This window comes from Homo sapiens, chromosome 6 (assembly GCF_000001405.40).
Source record: "Homo sapiens chromosome 6, GRCh38.p14 Primary Assembly".
NCBI lineage: Eukaryota > Metazoa > Chordata > Mammalia > Primates > Hominidae > Homo > Homo sapiens.
Window position 1 is genome coordinate 154,259,528 of NC_000006.12, and position 20,263 is coordinate 154,279,790.

Sequence of the window (20,263 nt, forward strand, 5' to 3'; positions counted from 1 at the left end):
TGTAATCCCAGCTACTCGGGAGGCTGAGGCAGGAAAATCACTTGAACCTGGGAGGCAGAGGTTGTGGTGAACCGAGATCGCTCCATTGCACTCCAGCCTGGGCAATAAGAGCGAAACTCTGTCTAAAAATAAATAAATAAATAAAATAAAAAATAAATAAATAAAAAGAAATATAGAATGCATGGGGCAGGGGTGGCATGAGGACAGAAGTTTTCTACTTAATGAGCCCCTCCCACCCCTACCAATAATCTATTCCCCAGAGAGCTCTCATGCCCTTCCCACCTAAGTCCTTGCCACAGGAAATATGTTCAAGTCTCCTGTTTTTGACCCATGTGAAGAGCAGCGTTGGCCCCTTATTTCAACATAGGGTTATGTTGATGTAGCCTGAAAGCAAACTGCAAAGTTTCAGCTTTTTTTAATTGACCAGAAATGTGAAGAATAAACTCCTCACTTCCACTCCCTGCAGTTCACACGACGAGCACGGAGATGGAGTGAGCGGTGAGACATGCATGTTTCATGCAGGCAGAAATCGTGTCTGGGCTGTTGACTACACATAGTCACATAAAGACCGATGCTTTGTGAGTGGCGAATGCAGAGCTGTCTTGTGAAGTAAACACAGCAAGTACCAGTTTGCTATTAGACAGATCATCCCACAGGTGAGAGTCCAGGCAACAGCAAATAACTTAACCACAGTAGCAGACATAAACATGCATTCACATCCACTGACCGTTTCCTTGTCAGCAAGAAAACTGAGCGAAATATCCATGATTTATATACGTAACTTTTTGTTTCAGGGAAAACATTTTAGGAGCTTTGGGTACAGGAACTATGTATAACAGTAAAAGAGATTATCTGTCTCATTCCCAGTGAGCCCTGTGATCCTTAAATTAAGGCTGTTTTCCTTCTTTAGTTGAACAGCGTTACTAAAATCTATCTAAGACCAGAGAACTTTTTTTTTTTTTTGAGATGGAGTCTCTCTCTATCCCCCAGGCTAGAGTGCAGTGGCGCCATCTCAGCTCACTGCAACCTCCACCTCCTGAGTTCAAGTGATTCTCCTGCCTTAGCCTCCTGAGTAGCTGGAATTACAGGCACACGCCACCACACCCAGCTAATTTTTGTATTTTTAGTAGAGACGGGGTTTCATCATGTTGGCCAGGATGGTCTCAATCTCCTGACCTCGTGATCCACCTGTCTCGGCCTCCCAAAGTGCTGGGATTACAGGCATGAGCCACCATGCCCAGCCGACCAGAGAACTTTATAATCAAGCCTTGAAGATTCATATATGCTAGTATTATTTATTTATTTATTTTAATGAGAAACTGATCATAAAAGAAAACCAAGCAATCATGATTTCGTGCATAACACTTGGTTATCACCATAGTGTGATTCGAGGAAACTTTATCAATATCAAGGACTACATAAACCAATTCTTAGAGAAGTCTGGGGATAGTGCCAAATCTAGTAACTATATTGAAGATTTCCCAACACACAATGAGCCAGATTCTAAAGGCGTGTGTGTGCATGTGTGTGTGTGTTGTGACAGGGTCTTGCTCTGTAGCCAAGACTGGAGTGCAGTGGACCACTGCAGCCTCGATCTCCTGGGCCCAAGCGATCCACCCACCTCAGCCTCCCAAGTAGCTGGGACTACAGACATGAACCAATACGCCTGGCTATTTTTTGTAAAGATGGGGTCTCCCTATGTTGCCCAGGGCTGGTCTCGAACTCCTGGCCTCAAGTGATCTTCCCACCTCAGCCTCCCAAAATGCTGGGATTGCAGGCATGAGCCACTTCTCCCGGCCTTAAAGTATGAAGTTTATCCAAAGGACAATGGGACATTGAACCAATGTAAGCAGGCGAGTGGCATAATCAGACTTCCATTTAAGAAAAATTCACTCTCGTTGTCATGTGGCAATTGGATTGGAGGGACACAGGGCCAGAGACAAAAGCCCAGGGGAAGAGGGCAAGAGCTGTGGCTGTGAAGATGGAGAAATATTTAAGAGACTGAACCGATAGAACTTGGTGGATCGATACTTTTGGATCTACATGAAACTTTAGCTTTGAAAATCCCATTGTTTCATTTAGAAGAGAGAAAAGAATACTATCAGGTAAACAACTCAGCTTAGCAAAACAGGACAATGCTGTTTGGTATACACATAATAAAATTTCAAATAACACTTAAAATTTAGTTGTGAATTCTGAGCATTTTTTTTAGCACCACTTACCATACCAGCTTCAGTGAAAACTAGCAGGCTAGGATCAACGAAAGGACCTTAAAGGTATATTCCTTCCCCCTACCCCCAACAAGATGGTATGCTCCTCATCTTTATACCCCAGCACCAAGCAGTTTGTTCAACCCATATAACTCAATAAGTGTTAGTTTAGTGGAAATGAAGTGTAATTCAAGATGTGATTAGGTCAAAGGTGTCAAACCTACTGAAACTACCTAGCATAAAAATAGGTCTCCTGTGCTACATTTTATTTAGAGAACAAATGACAGCAGAAAATTGAACTAATTTTCTGAATGGAAAGATAAAGTAGGGTAACCACTGAAAAGCTGCTGGAAGAAATGCTTAAAAGAAATGTTCAGCAGTGCCGCCCAGACACTGACGGCTGTGAGATAAAAATAACGGAAAAATAGACACACGAGGAGAGCTGGCTGATTGACTCTAGGAGTGGAGATGGCTCATGAAATGAGGAAGATACATAAATAGCCAGTTTCCACTAATAAGAATAGAATTCATTTGTACACAAGACCAAGGGAAACAGGTTACCTATTATAGTGGTAATGGCTTTAGGTCGGGAATTACGTGGATGATATGTTAGTCCTTTGGTAATCACATCTGTGATCTGATTCCAATACCCAGGGTTATACTTGTAGATGTAGAGACTTTAACTTGTCCAAAGCCAATTAAATCTCCAGTTCCTACCCTACCTGGTACAGTGCCTGATGCATGATAGAATCAGGATAGGTAAGGGTAGGTAATACTAACTGAATGTTCCAATGAACAAATAAATTTGTTAATTTAAAACACTTAAATGCTCTCTTATTACCTTGATTTCCAGTTCTTCTTAAACATATAAGATGAACTTCCTCCAGTTGGAAGATTACATCCTTTCAGTGGAAAAGGTGGAGCAATATAAGAATTAAACATTGCATTACCTTTCCCAAGGATCCAACAATCCTAATCCTTTCTTTTTTATGTCTTTGTTCCAAATAGTACATATACACATGCTTATAATCCTTTTTTTTTTTTTTTTTTTTTTTTTTGAGACAGAGTCTTGCTCTGTCACCAGGCTGGAGTGCAGTGATGCAATCTCAGCTCCCTGCAACCTCCACCTCCCGGGTTCAAGCAATTCCCCTGCCTCAGCCTCCTCAGTAGCTGGGACTACAGGTATGCGCCACCATGCCCAGCTAATTTTTGTATTTTAGTAGAGACAGTGTTTCACCATGTTGGCCAAGATGGTCTCCATCTCCTGACCTTGTGATCCACCTGCCTCAGCCTCCCAAAGTGCTGGGATTACAGGCATGAGCCACCATGCCCAGCCATGCTTATAATCTTAAAATGGAATTTTTCCTATTTAAAAATTTTCATTTTTGTTACTCTGAACTTCAACTTCCTTACTCTATTTTTACAGATCTGCAATGTCCATTTGCATTAAATCTTGACCACAGGACTCCCTTTTAGCATCCTGTAAATGAGTCTTTTTTTTTTAAATTTATTTATTTATTTTTTTTAATTGATCATTCTTGGGTGTTTCTCGCAGAGGGGGATTTGGCAGGGTCACAGGACAATAGTGGAGGGAAGGTCAGCACATAAACAAGTGAACAAAGGTCTCTGGTTTTCCTAGGCAGAGGACCCTGCGGCCTTCCGCAGTGTTTGTGTCCCTGGGTACTTGAGATTAGGGAGTGGTGATGACTCTTAAGGAGCATGCTGCCTTCAAGCATCTGTTTAACAAAGCACATCTTGCACCGCCCTTAATCCATTCAACCCTGAGTGGATACAGCACATGTTTCAGATAGCACAGGGTTGGGGGTAAGGTCACAGATCAGCAGGATCCCAAGGCAGAAGAATTTTTCTTAGTACAGAACAAAATGAAAAGTCTCCCACGTCTACCTCTTTCTACACAGACACGGCAACCATCCGATTTCTCAATCTCTTCCCCACCCTTCCCCCCTTTCTATTCCACAAAACCGCCATTGTCATCCTGGCCCGTTCTCAATGAGCTGTTGGGTACACCTCCCAGACGAGGTGGTGGCCGGGCAGAGGGGCTCCTCACTTCCCAGTAGGGGCGGCCAGGCAGAGGCGCCCCTCACCTCCCGGACGGGGCGGCTGGCCGGGCGGGGGGCTGACCCCCCCACCTCCCTCCCGGACGGGGCGGCTGGCCGGGCAGAGGGACTCCTCACTTCCCAGTAGGGGCGGCCGGGCAGAGGCGCCCCTCACTTCCCGGATGGGGCGGCTGGCCGGGCGGGGGGCTGACCCCCCCCACCTCCCTCCCAGACTGTAAATGAGTCTTTATATCAACTCCTAGCCAAAGCCTCCTACCGCAGCCACATTGATTCTCTTATTTGTTCCTCTTATTTATGCTCCTTGTAATTATTCACATTTCTATTATCAAAAAACACCCACCCATCCATGCCCATTGGATCACACCTTCCTTCCTTTTCTCCAAGCTTTACATGGCAAATATCCTACAATGCATGACTTCTTTTTTTTTAAAGAAACACCTTATCATTTGTTGGTCACTCTCCATTCATGATTCAGGCCTGTGTGTGCTGGTGAGGCCATCCTCCCAGTTGAGTTAATTTTTATATCTGGTGTGAGGTAAAGGTCCAGCATCATTATTTTATTTTATTTTTTTAATTGAGATGGAGTAACCCTTTGTTGCCCAGGCTGCAGTGCAGTGACAGATCTCAGCTCACTGCAACCTCTACCTCCCAGATTCAAGTGATCCTTTCGCCTCAGCCTCCCGAGTAGCTGGGACTACAGGTGCGCACCACCATGCCCGGCTAATTTTTGTATTTTTAGTAGAGATGGAGTTTCACCATGTTGGCCAAGCTGGTCTCAAATCTCCTGACCTCAAGTGATCCACCCACCTCGGCCTGCCAAAGTGCTGGGATTACAGGCGTGAACTACCGTACCCAGCCAATACATAACTTCTTAAGTTTCCTGCATTTTTTTTCATACCTAGCAAGTTTTCTCCTTAATTAGAATGAGCACCGGAATTAAAGTGTCTTCATTGCCTTTTCAATTTCTGGGATACGACATTGTTAGCAAGTCAAGCAAAGGATGTTTCAGCCGCCCTGCATGTTACTAAGGTGTCCCTTTCAGGAGCTGTCTAGTTAACTCAGATTCTTCATCCCTGTTACCACAAAGTCCCTTGACATCCATTTTCTAATTTGCGTCAAGAAACCACAGTCTACATTCCAGATTTGGCAGGAAGTCTATACTTTAGCCTCCCAACACACCACTTCTGATTCTGCTTTTAGCTCTGCTCCTCAAACTCTGACCTATACATCCATCATGAGGTCATTAGATTTGCCAAAAGAAGCACACCATACAATCCCACGACACTCCCCACAGTCCCTTCTATTAGAAATGCCGTGTTACTAACATCGACTTCCTAATTTTTCCCTGCATAAGTTTCCTTGTCTAATAGAGATTATATACTTGCTCAATTCACTTACCTATCTTAGGCAAACATATGACCATAAAATTGTTTTAAAAGATACCCATGATTTCAGTGAAATTATTATTATGTTTTTTTTTTTTGAGGCGGAGTCTCGCTCTGTTGCCCAGGCTGGAGTGCAGTGGCGCGATCTCGGCTCACTGCAACCTCCACTTCCCAGGTTCAAGTGATTCTCCTCCCTCAGCCTCCTCAGTAACTGGGATTACAGGCGCACACCACCATATCCAGCTAATTTTTGTATTTTTAGTACAGACAGAGTTTCACCATGTTGGCCAGGCTGGTCTCAATCTCCTGACCTTGTGATCTGCCCTCCTCGGCCTCCCAAAGTGCTGGGATTACAGGCATGAGCCACCGTGCCCAGCCCTATTTCAGTGAAATTATTAACAGAATTTTTCCTACAGAGGTTGCATGAGAGGTTCCACTAGTACCATAGCTAACATCTTCTTAAAATATAATTGATGTACAGTATATTAAAACCATGGTATGCAGCTTAAACTTTAAAAGTAAAAATCTAGAGGTCTTAAATGCTTGATAACCATAAGACCGTTTAAATCTAGCAACAGTGTCTTTGGTTCTACTGTGGCTAATGAAATTGAGGACAATAAATTGCTAGCCAAACTTGAAATCAACCTACTATTTTACTCATTCATCAAACTGACAATATCTAAAGCCTGGGGTATTCCAAAGGATACTTACAAGAGCACTGCCATCAATAGCCATGTATGATGTCATCTTAGTAGAAACAAAAGCTAGAAGAGAAAAAATGTTTTCAGTTAAATGTGAGATTAAAGTGTTCATAAAAACATATATCTCTTTGAGTGGGGAAAGAAAATACTTCTATTGTGATTAATCAATTTTACAATAAAAGTAATTCATTAAATAGCCTTTCGGCCAGGCATGGTGGCTCATGCCTCTAGTCCCAGAGCTTTGGGAGGCCAAGGCAGGAGGATTGCTTGAGGCCAGTAGTTCAAGACCAGCCTGAACAACATAGTGAGACCCTGTCCCTAAAAGAAAAAAAACATAGCCAGTTGTAGTGGCACACACCTGTAATCCCAGCTGCTCAGGAGGCTGAGGTGGGAGGATTGCTTGAGCCCAGGAGTTCAAGGTTACAGTGAGCTATAATGGCACCACTGCACTCCAGCCTAAGTGACAGAACAAGATCCTGTCTCTTAAAAAAATTTTTTTTAATGAATAAATAAATAAATAGCTTTTTATTTCAGAACTCAATAAGCCAACTGTTTAAAGTTGAGTTCATAAGATAAGCCAGAATTTCATTTATACATTTGTCAATATTCTTTTCAAGTACTCAGCAAGACATGTATATGATTTACACACTTAATATTACTATATATATATATATATATATATATACACACAAACACACACACACATTTTGAGAAGTGGAAATGTTTTCCTCTTTATGATAAACAATGCAACTAAGATGTGAAAATGTGGCCCATCACTATTATCCAACTTTGAAAACATAGCTAACTCCCCTGCCTCTGAAGTCCCAAACTTTAATAGCAAGATAGGCTCCTTTTGATGTTTGCACTTTGTAGTGGGTTGCCTGAAAAACAAGATATTCTGTGGTTTCAAGAAAAGCAAATGAAAACAAAAGGAAAAAAATCCTCATGTTTTCAACATTGACAAGCAAGAAACTTGTTAAAGATCCACAAGCCACTGAAACTCTCCCCAAAGCAGACAGCTTTTCAACTTCATCCCAGTGACACCACAAGTACACATTCATGACCTGTTTGTTTCTTACACCAGTGGAGGTCCCCAAATTCTGAGTAATGGAAACTCCTTTTTCATATTAAAAATGCTATATTACATAGATATTAATAAGACATTTATTGGTAAAATGTGAAAGAGATAAACCACAATAAAAGGACTGATAAATTTACTTAATTTTAACTTATTTCTTAAAAAAAAATTAAAACCTAAATTTAAAAAATCAAGTCTCAAGCTGATAAAAATATCTGAAATATACATTTAATACATAAGAACCATAAAATAGAGTTCTTACATGTCACAAAGAAGATAATAAGCAAACTAATAGAAGAACAAATAAAGGAAAATTGAAAAAATAAAATACAAATAACTAATGCTTAATCTCATTAGTAATAAAATAAATGCAAAATAAAATACCATGATTCCATTTTTATTCTTCAGGATTGGAAAAAAATTAAGTGATGGAAGTCAATTTGGGTGGAGGTGGAGGTGTGTTGAAAAGAATATTCTCACATATTGGGATATCAAAATGTTACAGGATCTTTGGGTTGTCGCTCTTCTGGCCAGAAACCTCTGTGGCTGGTGGCACCTTTGCCCAAGTTCTTGTCCTGCATCTGGGAATAACGAGGTACACAGAGAAGTAGAGGGGAGCAAGATGAAGAGGAGCTTTATTGAGTGTTAGAACAGCTCAGAGAAGACCCATAGTGGGTAATTCCTCTCCATAGGCAGGTCGTCCCATGGAGTGTTCAGCTTTCAACAGAGAGGAGGCCCTGGAGAGGGCAGCTCCTCTCTGCAGGCAGGTTAGCCAGAAGTCTGCAGCAGCTCTTGGCAGAGAGGAGGCCCTGGAATGGGTTGCTCCTCCTTGCAGGTGGTAGTCCCAATGTCTCTGCAGGTCCTGAAGCTCTCAGCAGAGAGGGCAGCTCCTCCCTGCAGCTGGTTGTCAGGATGTCTGTTCAGCTCTGGCTGATCTTGGGGCTTTTATGGCCTCAGAGGTGAGGAAATGCACACAGATTGGTCCATGGGTGGCCATGGGAGGGCCCAGAAAGGCACCACAAGTTCCCACTCCAGTTGGTGGGACTGGCAGCCTGGTCCCCAGTCTTCAGGCCCTCCCTGGCCTGAAGGTGGGGTCTCACCAGGGACCTGCCCCCTTCCGCCCTGGCATCTGTCTGCCTCCTGCTGCCGTTCATGGTGCCTGGGCTTGTGGGGACTTTGCTCCCATCAGAGCAGGCACTGACAGCAGGGAGAAGCCAGGCAGCAGAAGCAGGCACTCCTGAGCCTGCAAGGACAGCAGGGGCCTTCCCAGGCCCCCAAGAGTGCAGTGATGCCTGAGTCTGGGGGTGGGGTAGGTCCTGTCTGCTCTTTGGAGTGGGAGGTGTGGGTCTGCAGCTACAGCCTGCTCAGCTGTGGTTTGGGTAGCTGCAGCAGCACCCAGGGAGCTCCATCTCAACTCAGAATCTTTCTTTTGTATCCATTTTACCTGCTTAATTCCTAACTATCCCTTAAAGTCCTCTCTGTCCACACCCATTGCCATCATCCTAGTCCAAGCCATCAGCACCTCCCTCTTGGACCACTGCAAGAACATCCTAACTGATGTCCCAGTTTCTCTCTGGCCCAGTGATTTTTTTCAATGCACATCTGACTATTCACCTCTGTCCTTATATCCCTACAATGGTCATTGGTCTTTAAATAAAGATCAAAATTGTGAAAACTTCCTACAAGTGAGGCTTTGCACCATCTGACCACGACCTCATCTCCGGCCCTTCCTTGGGTTGTTTCCGTATCTGTTTCTATCTCCCTTACTCATTGTCTTTTTTTTTTTTTAAGTCCTCAAACACATTTATTTCCATTTCAGAGCCTTGGTGCATGCTTTTTCTCAACAGTCACCACCTAGGATGGCTTATACCATCTAATTTTTCAACTCTCTGACAGAAGGTCACTCCATCAAGAAAACCTTCCCTGATCCTTGGGAGAGATCGATCCCCTTTTATAGCCTCTCACATCACCTTATTTTTTATTCATAGAAGTTTTCATCATTGTAGTGAATGATTAATTTTGCAATTGGTCCTTTAACATCTGACTCTCCATTATAATATAACCTAACTGAAGGCAGCCACTGTGTCTGGCCTTGGTCACTTATTTGCTGCTGTGTCCTCAGTCTCTGTAGGCAGGGTGGTTCAATATATATTTGTTGAGTAAATGAATTAAATATACAAGCAATAAAACCACTCACTATAGATGAGTTTCCATAAAGGAAATCTATAGATTCCAAATTTTTGTTTTGTAAAATATTGGCATCATGAATATCCCATTAGAAAGCTCCTTCCCAATCTGCAGGATATGGAAATGAGATGATGTTGATATCATACCTCCTTCGGTCAAAGAGCAAAAGGGTAGAAATAATACGCAGTCACTGGCATGGGTGGTGGAGGTGGGATGGGAGACAGCTAGGGATTGATGTACCTTTGTGGAGTTTGTGTATGAGTGTTTCATTAATAATCTTGGAGTTTCAGTACTTTGTTTCTTTTTTTTCTTTTCTTTTCCTTTCTTTTTTTAATTTTAAATTTAAAAAAATAGAGACAGGGTCTTGCTTTGTAGCCCAGGCTGGTCTCAAACTCCTGGTTTTAAACAATCTTCTTGCCTCGGCATCCTAAAGCATTGCGATTACATGAGTGAGCAACCATGCCTGGCCAGTACTTTGTTTCTTGAAGTAGTTGAAACATATGAAATCTAAATTCCACTAAAATGATTCAAAAATAATTTTGGGCAGAAGAACCACCAAAATAAGCTAAGCTCAACTCTTGTTTCTCCTCTTCCAGTCAAAGCCCATGGCCATAATAAAGAAGAATTAGGAAAAGAAATGAGGGCTATGGAGACTCATGTACGTACTTTTGATTGTTTGGACAATGAGAACTGGTTCAGCTAACCAGGTTAACCAGAAACACATGGTGTCCATATGTTGATAAGCTAAATAGGTAGCTCCAAGGTTTTGATGAAAATATATACATATAAAGTACACAATAAAAGCAGCTTGTGAGAAAAATAATCCTGGCAAAGGTGTTTTGAAAGTGATAACTTTTCAGTATTCACAGTCCTTTCTGAGAATATCAGTTTAAGCAAAGTGCCTATACATAAGAATTGAAGGAAGAAATAATGACTATTTGATATATCATGAGAATGAATTTTTGAATTACCACAAATTTAAAAATAGATAAGACCCTAACGACAGGGTAACAAAACACTTTTGTATATCAAGAGGTTTCCAGTTCTTTGCTTTCAACAAAATTAAGGAAAAACCTATTTGAATTGTCTATGGATTATGAAAGTAACTGTTGTGATAAATCATCATGAGATATTTGGCATATCCTTGGAAGGAGTTCAAAAAGTGCTCAATTCCTACATATTTACTTACGTGAAAAATATTTCTAAGTGCTTACATACATAAAAACCAATAATAGGATTAGAATTAGTTCTCAACTCTGTCATTGTAGTAATAAATAATGTTCATTCATGTGTATGTTGCATAATTGGGGGTAATGTCTCATCTATCTAAGTACTGCATATTCAATAAAAATATTTATCTGTTTTATTCAATCACTATCAGTCAAAATGTGTAGTATATCATATTAATGCTTGTTAAATTATGTACCAATAATAATTGTAATAATAACTCTGAATAAAATTTTTTGGCTTAAATAATTTTGTCACCAAAAATTTTTTAAATTAATTTCAATTTAAATATGTATTCTTGGCCAGGTACGGTGGCTCACGCCTCTAATCCCAGCACTTTGGGAGGCCAAGGTGGGCAAATAGCTTGAGATCACGAGTTCAAGACCAGCCTGGCCAACATAGTGAAATCCCATCTCTGCCAAAAATACAAAAATTAGCCAGGTGCGGTGGTGCACACTTGTGGTCCCAGCTACTAGGGAGGCTGAGGTGGGAGGATGGCTTGAGCCCAGGAGGCTGAGGTTGCAGTGAGCCGAAATTGTGCCACTGCACTCCAGCCTAGGTGACACAGCCAGACTTTGTTCCAAAAGACAAACAAACAAACAAACCAAAAAAACTCTTCTTTTAGCTTAAATGTATGATAGAATTATCAATAAAATATTTTCAGGCATAAAAATATGTAATAGGACTTGGCACAGTGGCTCACACCTGTAATCCCAGCACTTTGGGATGCTGAGGTAGGAGGATCACTTGAGGTCAGGAGTTCAAGAGCAGTCTGGGCAACATAGCAAGACCCCATCTCTACAAAAAAAAAATAAATAAATAAGAAAAATCAGCCCTGTATGATGGCAGGCATATGTAGTTGGGAGATTGAGGCAGGAGTATCTCTCCCACCCAGGAGGTCAAGGTTGGTATGATAGTGCCACTGCACTCCAGCCTGGATGACAGAGTGGGATCCTGTCTCTTAAAGAAAAAAAAAATCATATAATAGGATAAAAATCCATATGATAGTGGAATGAAAATATGAGTTTCAGGAGAAAAGAAAACAATGTAAAATGTGCAAGTCCTAAAGTTTACTTTTAAAAAAAATTACAGGACATACCAACTCTTTATGATATCTATATTATATAGATTACTTTTATACAGAAGTATAACCTTTTTTACCATCAATGTTTACAATATGCCAGAAACCACATCTTTTCAACTACATGTATGACAAAAACTTTAGGTGACAATTTGAAGTATAAGGGGGTACATGAGGCTCCTAAGTTCTTTTATGGGTACACAACCAAAAATATATGCTTAAAACTAGGCCGGGTTCAATGGCTCACATCTGTAATCCCAGCAGTTTGGAAGACCAAGATGGAAGGATCACTTGAGACCAGGAGTATGAGACCAGCCTGGGCAACATAGCAAAACCCTCATTTTTACAAAAATAAAATAAAAATTAGCAGGGTATGGTGATGTGCACCTGTAGCCCCAGCTACTCAGGAGGCTAAGGTGGGAGGATTGCTTGAGCCCAGGAGTTCAAGTCTGCAATGAGCTTTGATTGTGCTATTGCACTCCATCCTGAACAACAGAGTGAGACTCTGTCTCTAAAAGAAAACCACTCCACTAAAGTATGTAGATTACAGTCAAGTAGGTTTAAGTTCAAATCCCAACTCTGCCACTTGTTAAATGAGAAAACTTATGGAAACTGCTTAATGCTCTGACTAGCAAATGCCTCCTCTTTGAATAATAATAACCAACTCATAAGGTGTTTGTGAGAATTAAACGAGATATCATATGGGAAGCACACAGGGCACAAGTGTGCATGCTTAGTAAGTGGTAGCAATTACCTAGAATGGGAGCTATTACCTAGAAATAGCTTCATTATACAAAACTATCCTTCCTAATGGAATTAGTATACAACTAAAGGGATTGAACAAGTGTGATAACAGGTTTCATCAAATAAAATAGCTTTCACACTTCAAGGTTGGTTAAACTCCCTAGCCAACTAACCAATGACATTTTTGGTGCCTTGTTTCAGAGTTTAAGGGAATAGTTATCTCAGTCATATTTAAAACAGTTATCTTCTTTAAAGAACAATTTCTTAACAAACTACAACATGAAACATAGCCAAACCAATGAAATCACTAATTGTTTAAGTTTGTTAAATGAAATAAAATGCATTCCTGATCAACTCTGTAACTGAAAACTAGAAAATATGTTTTGTTAGCAAATGAGTAATAAAGTCAATTTCAAAGAAGAGATTTTCCTTCACATATATTAATAAAGAATCATTCCATTTTGTTTTAATCACAAATTGCATGCTTCTTAAACCAAGTGTGTTTTAGCCATTTTAGAAATTGTTTAGAAAGTTATTTAAGATAGAAATATGGACTCTCATCCTATACTATTTTAAACCCAGAAAATGAACCAAGAATATCAATCCCCAACAAACACACTATTTATAAAGAAGGCTAGCATAATCAGTATTTTTTTTAAGAATCAAGAAAAAAATTCCACTAAGGGGATTTATTCATTCAACTGATGCAAAGGTAACTGTCCTGGTTATTCCCTAATAGACATTATCATCTTTGGAATGATGGAGCAAAATAAGTACCATGCCTAATGTTTTACACATTTTTAAAACAAAGATAATTTATTGTGATTTAGAGACGATTTTCCAGTTGAAATAACATAGGAGCTAGGTTGATTCTCTTTCTCACAGAGCCTTAAGTGAAAACAAAACAGGTCTGAACTAAAACGTTTAAAACCCACAGATTAATTTATCCTTTAAAATTATAATGCTGGCATTCAGCAAGACATTATCACAGCAGCAAGTGGATTTATACAAAGTCCACAAACACAGGCAAACAATGTGCGTTATTCTTAAGCCAGAAGTCAGAGCTAAGAGGAAACAAAAAAATGCTTGTTATCCTCGTGGCAGAAGTCTTGATCGTCGACAAGTAGGTAATCCATGTGGCAGCAAACGTCCACACTCTACTGGAGACAAGCACTGTTTATAAGCGAGCATGTTCTGTTACATGATAGTCCATCACAGCAATGCCATGGAAAACAGAAGAGAACATTCATCTTCGCTCACATATAAAAGCAAAGGACATGAGATAATCCATTCGTTTTGCCAATTAGTAGGAGATTTCACCTGTCAAGGCAAAGCAGGAGAGAAGGAAGCAAATGCAAGATGACTTCCCTACCAGTCTGTGTACAGTGACATATGCGGCAGGGGAGGTTTGGGGTTGTGACTTTGTTCAGGAACTTTATGAAGGAGAAAGTAGCTTCATCCAAATTATTTTAAGCTTTTTTCTTTTTTTCTTTCTTTCTTTCTTTCTTTTTTTTTTTTTTTTTTTTTTTTTTTTTTTTTTTTTTTTTTTTTTTGAGGCAGAGTCTCCCTCTGTCGCCCAGGCTGGAGTGCAGTGGCGCCATCTCGGCTCGCTGCAAGCTCCGCCTCCCGGGTTCACGGCATTCTCCTGCCTCAGCCTCCAGAGTAGCTGGGACTGCAGGCGCCCGCCACCACACCCGGCTAATTTTTTGTATTTTTAGTAGAGACGGGGTTTCACCTTGTTAGCCAGGATGGTCTCGATTTCCTGACCTCATCATCCACCCGCCTCAGCCTCCCAAAGTTCTGGGATTACAGGCATGAGCCACCGTGCCTGGCTGCTTTTTTTTTTTTTAACTTAAGCTCAAAGTGTCATTCTGATTCCAATCCATTTTCTACTTGCTATAGAATATTCTCATTCTTTCTCTTTCGGTTATCTTCCCTTTTTTATTGTTGTCTTTTCCACTCATTTCGTTGCATTTCTTTCCTGCCTTCTCTCCACTTTGATGATGAATTGACAGATGGTTTTAAGAACCACAGCTTTTTTCAAACAGAGAAACTATGATGCTTAAAATTACTTTATTTTTGACACCATAAAAATACTGCAATCCATCATCTGTGGAGACTGGCAGGCCTCTTCCCTGCTTTCCCTTCAGAAATTCCCACATAAGCTGTCAGCCCTGACAATCAAGGCTCAGACACACAAAATCCACAAAGCTAAGGGAGATAAAAGACTTTCTTTCAGCCAATAATGTCAATCTTTCCTCCCAGTGGACCATTTTACCATAGTAACAAACAGGTGGAAAACTGCAAGAGATCTCAAACGATTTGCCTCTTTCACATCCTGGAAGGGCCTACCAAATGCCAATGGCTATTGGCCATGCCCCTCTTGGAGGTACAAAGCTCCCCTGAGTTGCTGAACTACAGGGGTCTCTTGTCCTTCTGTGGGACTCCTGAACCTGAAACTTCTAAAATGTGGTCTATACCTGCAGGGGCCATTAGACTGGGGCAAGCAGAGACCAGCCGTGGGCCACACCCTGGCCAATCCTCCTCAGAGCACCCAGAGCCCAGCCCTGGCCCACATGCACCCTGTGTTGGTTGCGCCCAATCAAGGTTCCCTTCCCCAGAACATGGGGTAGACCAGATGCCCTGAAAAGCACTGGGACTTGTTTCTACAGAGTTGGGTTTGTTCTGCGGTTGTCTTAAGTTCCATGACACCTGCCTGGAGAGTAGTTGTTGTCACTGGTTCTCCAAAACAGGGATGGATGTTCAATGATTCCAATTATTTATATAGGCAGGGGTCCTACAATGCATATTTTCACCTACCCCTCAAAGACACATAAACACACACACCCTAGTGGCAGCTCTTGTTCAGTTTTACCAATGCAGATAAAACACACCATCACACCTGCCTCTCCTACGCCAGCTCCAGATCCAAGGAACTTCTAGGAGCCAGTTACTCTAAGATCCAAGCTAGCCGTATGCTGAAGCGTGATTCTAAGGGATTGTGACTGAAACTCCAGGAGCCACCTCAAAAGTTTGTACTGTCCTCAAGCTGCTACATCATATGAGACAAAGGGCACCAGCTCCCTAATGAGGACACAGGAAACATTGGTAGCTCCTAGACAAGGTATCAATTATGAGGCCCACTGCAATCTACTACAGTCTGTTCCATGAGCACAGCTTGGTTCCTTCCAGGTCCCTACTAGGGTATCCCCCGAATAACATCCGCAATTCCTAGTTTGCTTCACTCCAGCCGGTGGGGCAAGAGCTGATACAGTGCTCTAGAATGAGCCAGATAGGAATAGCAAGCGATGGCCCTTACTTTTCTGAAATTTGCATCTCTCCATTTCTCCACATGAATAATAATTACATTTTCTGTCTGCAGAAGATGAAATGTTTTTCTACTTGGTGAAATTCAGACAGTGTACATGGCTCTGAGGCAGCCAGTCACTTTATTTCTGCTTTGCCAAACATTATTCCATTCAGTGCCCTTTACACCAAAGTGAGCAGCTATACCCCATACAGCAGAGGACTCTGCAACTGGACATTCACTGGCTAGAAGGCAGCCAAGAAAAAAAAAATGATTATAAAAGCTGTCAGCCGCTTGCACCCATTGCTCTAGAGTTGGAGCCAAAACCCCTTTTGTCTGGCTAGATTTTTCCTTAAGAAATATCATTTTAGGGGCCGGGCACAGTGACTCACGCCTGTAATCCTAGCACTTTGGGAGGCCGAGGCGGGTGGATCACTTGAGGTCAGGAGTTCGAAACCAGCCTGACCAACATGGTGAAATTCCATCTCTACTAAAAATACCAAAAAAATTTAGCTGGCCATGGTGGCAGGTGCCTGTAATCCCAGCTACCCGGGAGGCTGAAGCAGGAGAATCGCTTGAACCTGGGAGGTGGAGGTTGCAGTGAGCCGAGATTGTGCCACTGCACTCCAGCCTGGGCAACAGAGAGAGATTCCATCTCAGAAGAAAAGAAAGAAAGAGAAAAAGAGAGAGAGAGAGAAAAGGAAAGAAAGAAAGAGAAAAGGTGGGAGGGAGGGAGGAAGAAAGAGAAAAAAGAAAAGAAAAAAAAAGAAAAGAAAAGAGGAAGGGAAGGAGGGAGGGAAGGAGGAAATAAAAGATCATTTTAGGGGCCTTGTAATTTTGCAAAGGTCGTGCCCAAGGGTTATCAGACAAGAGAGACCATAAGGAGATAAACTACTGTATATAATCATGGTGAGGGCTGCTTTGCCCAGAATAGAGTGACTTCTCTTGGAGGCTCTTATAATGATATTTGGCAGAACTGTTGCAAACTGTTTTCAGTCTTCACAGCAAGGTTGTAAAGTAACTTATACTTTAACACGTGAAAAAACGAATATACAGAGTGGGTGGACTAACTAGTTTACATAGCTAGCAAGTTAAAGCCAAATTTGAATTCAGATTTTCAGACTCCAGGTCCAGGGCCCTATGGTCATCAGCAGTGCTGTCTCAGAATAATCTTTGCCTTTTCAAATTCTCCTTAGAAGCAGGCTTTTATTTTCTTTTTGCAAACAGTAGATCTCATTACATTCTTAGAGAATGAATGAGTCTAATAATTCTTACAGACACTCAGGGCAAGACATGCAGTAGGCACCTAACAAATATCTGTTGACTTATATTGGCCCTGCCTCAACTTTAGGACAAGTTAGAATGAGTAAGCTATTTACCAAATTTAGACAATTCAGAGGGACCTTCGGTGACTAGCAGTGATAACGTGGCTGCCAAAGGGCTACTCGTGGGATCATAGATCAGCTGCCACTGTGTGGTCTGGAAGGGTCTGATCAGCAGGCAATACAGCTCTCAGAAAGAGACACTGACGAGCTGCATGCAGCTTGTTTGGGAATTGCGCATCCTAGGTGAGGCTTCATTCAGAAACTATGAAGGGCTCACGTCCTGGTCAGAATCCCACATGGGCAGGCTATGAATTGAAGGCTTAAACCATATCATGCTGGAAACCACACAGGCACAAGGACCTCAATTTTGCATCTGCTGAAAAATCTGGGTTAGTGTCTCCAAAACATCTAAAGCAAGAACGAGAGATGTCACTAAAACACACCTATTTATTCTTTAGGAAGAACTGTTAAATTAAAGTCATTCTTAAATACCCCCCATCCCAAATTGAGATATTTGTTGACACAATCCACATAAGCGAATGCCGTCAAGAATAGATTTGCTTTCTCTGAAATCATAACATGTATGCAAAGAGACACCTAGTGGAAGAACACCTAAGTACAATATTTAGCTTAAGACCAAAGATTAAATCGTCCAACTCCCTAATTTGACATTCTTTCAATTTCAATAGCGCATTTTTTTAAACCACTAGAATCATAAACTCAGAAATCTAAGTTTTCAAAAAGAAAATGTTCTATTTGTTTTTCCAGGAAGCATTGGCTCTTTTATTGGTTGTTGTTGTTGTTCATTAGACTATCTTACGTATAAATTACTGCGAAGTAATACAAAAATTACAGAGCAGACTGCAGCTGGCCAGCCACTTTACTTCACCTTTCCCTGAACACATGTGGGCTTATTTTTTTGTTTCCATTCCTTTATAGACTTTGCCTGTGAGATTTTCCGCTTGTCTTTGGGTTGCTTTTTTCTTGCTTTTAACTAGGTAAAGCCAGACTTTTTTTTTCCAGCCAGCTTCCTGTGGTCCGCCCAGCTTCCTGTGGTCCACCCACTCTCATCTTTACATGCTCACTTTCCCACTCGTACCTCACCTACACTGGGTACCGCACCCACCTCCTCATCTTCCATGCACACGTGCACCTTCCTCTCTCCCTCCTGCCCTAGATACCTTCATTTAACCTCAAAAGGAAAACTTTGTTATCACAAAATAGAAGGAATCACCTATTTTTTTCTTTACTCCATAGTACTAAAATTCAGCTATGACAAACGTTGAAATTATTATTTTTAAACTCCTGCATAGAAAAAAAGTTTAGATTGGAAATTGATTTTTAATTTAACAGATATGTTTAATTGCAATTTCTATGACCTCACAGGCACCACTTCATGGGATTTTACATCTGAAAGAGGAACATGTGCTCTAGCAGAAGCCAGACTGACATTCACCAGGTCCAGGTCTCCTGACACTGCTGTGCTACAAAGAGCTGAGCCCTGTGGACAGGTCCGGGAGAATGAGACGCCAAGTAGAGAATGGGAATCCAAGAGACGCCAAGGCTCCAGACGTATGGATGCAAAAGTGATCTTGAAAGTAGAGATCCTCCGATCCTAGCCACCCCAGCTAAAGTCACATGGGTCAAAGATGAACTGCCAAGCCAAGTCAACCCCTCTCCAAATTCCTGTCATGGTCAAAACAAAAAGGTCCTTACTCCACTGTTTTCAATAAGTAAGAAGGTCCTTATTCCTACATCACATGCTTGATGGTGACATGTTGAAACCTTTTCCTTTGATATTAGGAATAAGCCAAAGATTCTCATTATCACTTAACAACATTGTCTCAAAAGTACTGGAAAACAATGGTAAAAATATATATATATATGATTAAAAGGTAAAAAATCAAGATTGTCAGTATTTTCAAATGATATAGTTTTACATGCAGAAAGAATCTACACATTAATAATTACAATTAAAAAGTGGGCCAGGCGTGGTGGCTTATGCCTGTAATCCCAGCACTTTGGGAGGCTATGGTGGTGGATTGCTGGAGCTCAGGAGTTTGAGACCAGCCTGGGCAACATGGTGAAACCCTGTCTCTACCAAAAATACAAAAAAAAAAAAAAAAAAGCTGGTCATGGTGGTGTGCACCTGTGGTCCCAGCTACTTGGGAGGCTGGGGTGAGAGGATCCCTTGAACCTGGGGGATAGAGGTTGCACTGAGTTGAGATCGTGCCACCGCAAAAAAATCATAGACAGAGCCAGACCCTGTCTCAAAATAAAAAAAAAAAAAAGTGGGCATAAGAAGGTTGCTAGCTACAAAGCCAATATATTAAAATCAACAACATTTCTACCAGCCACCAACAGTTTGAAAGTAAAATTTCTAAGAAGATAGCAATATCATAAAAATTCAAATATGTTAGAATGAATCTAATAAAAATGTATAAGACTTCAATGAAGAAATCAATTTTTGAAAGAAACTTAAAAAGGGTATAAATAAATGGAAAGATGTCGTGTGTTCATTCATTGGAAGACTCAATATTGTGAAGATGACTCTGGCTAGTGCTTTTCCTTTGCCATTCGTTATCTTCATTATTCTGTGGTCATAAGGATATCGTCCTACTTTTCCTTCTACGAATTTTATTGTCTTGTCTTCCTTATTAGATCTACAATTTACTTGCAATTGATTTTCTATTATGGTTTCAAATAGGGGTCAAGTTTCATCTTTTAAATTAATGGCCAATTACCTCAGTATCATCTATTGAAAATACTGTCATTTCCCCCACTGGTTCTAACCATAAAGGAAAAGCTGTAAGTTGAAACACATTAGAATTAAGAATTCCCATTCATCAAAAGACAACCTTAGGGACTGAGAAAACAAGCAAATGAATGAGAAGAGGTATGTGCCATACATATAACATGCATGAGGCCATGCATCCAGAA

At 41.1% G+C, this 20,263-nt stretch overlaps 1 protein-coding gene across 7 annotated transcripts in view; it reads right to left on the reverse strand.

Annotated features, from left to right (window-relative positions):
* Positions 1 to 20,263, reverse strand: part of IPCEF1 (interaction protein for cytohesin exchange factors 1) — a 202,308-nt gene that overhangs the window by 105,032 nt on the left and 77,013 nt on the right. For all 7 annotated transcript variants that reach the window (NM_015553.3, NM_001130700.2, NM_001394799.1 and 4 more), the window contains one exon: positions 6,385 to 6,437. In NM_015553.3, coding sequence (NP_056368.1) covers positions 6,385 to 6,420 — 36 coding nt within the window. In that variant the 5' untranslated portion in view covers positions 6,421 to 6,437. The remainder of the gene's footprint in view (positions 1 to 6,384; positions 6,438 to 20,263) is intronic.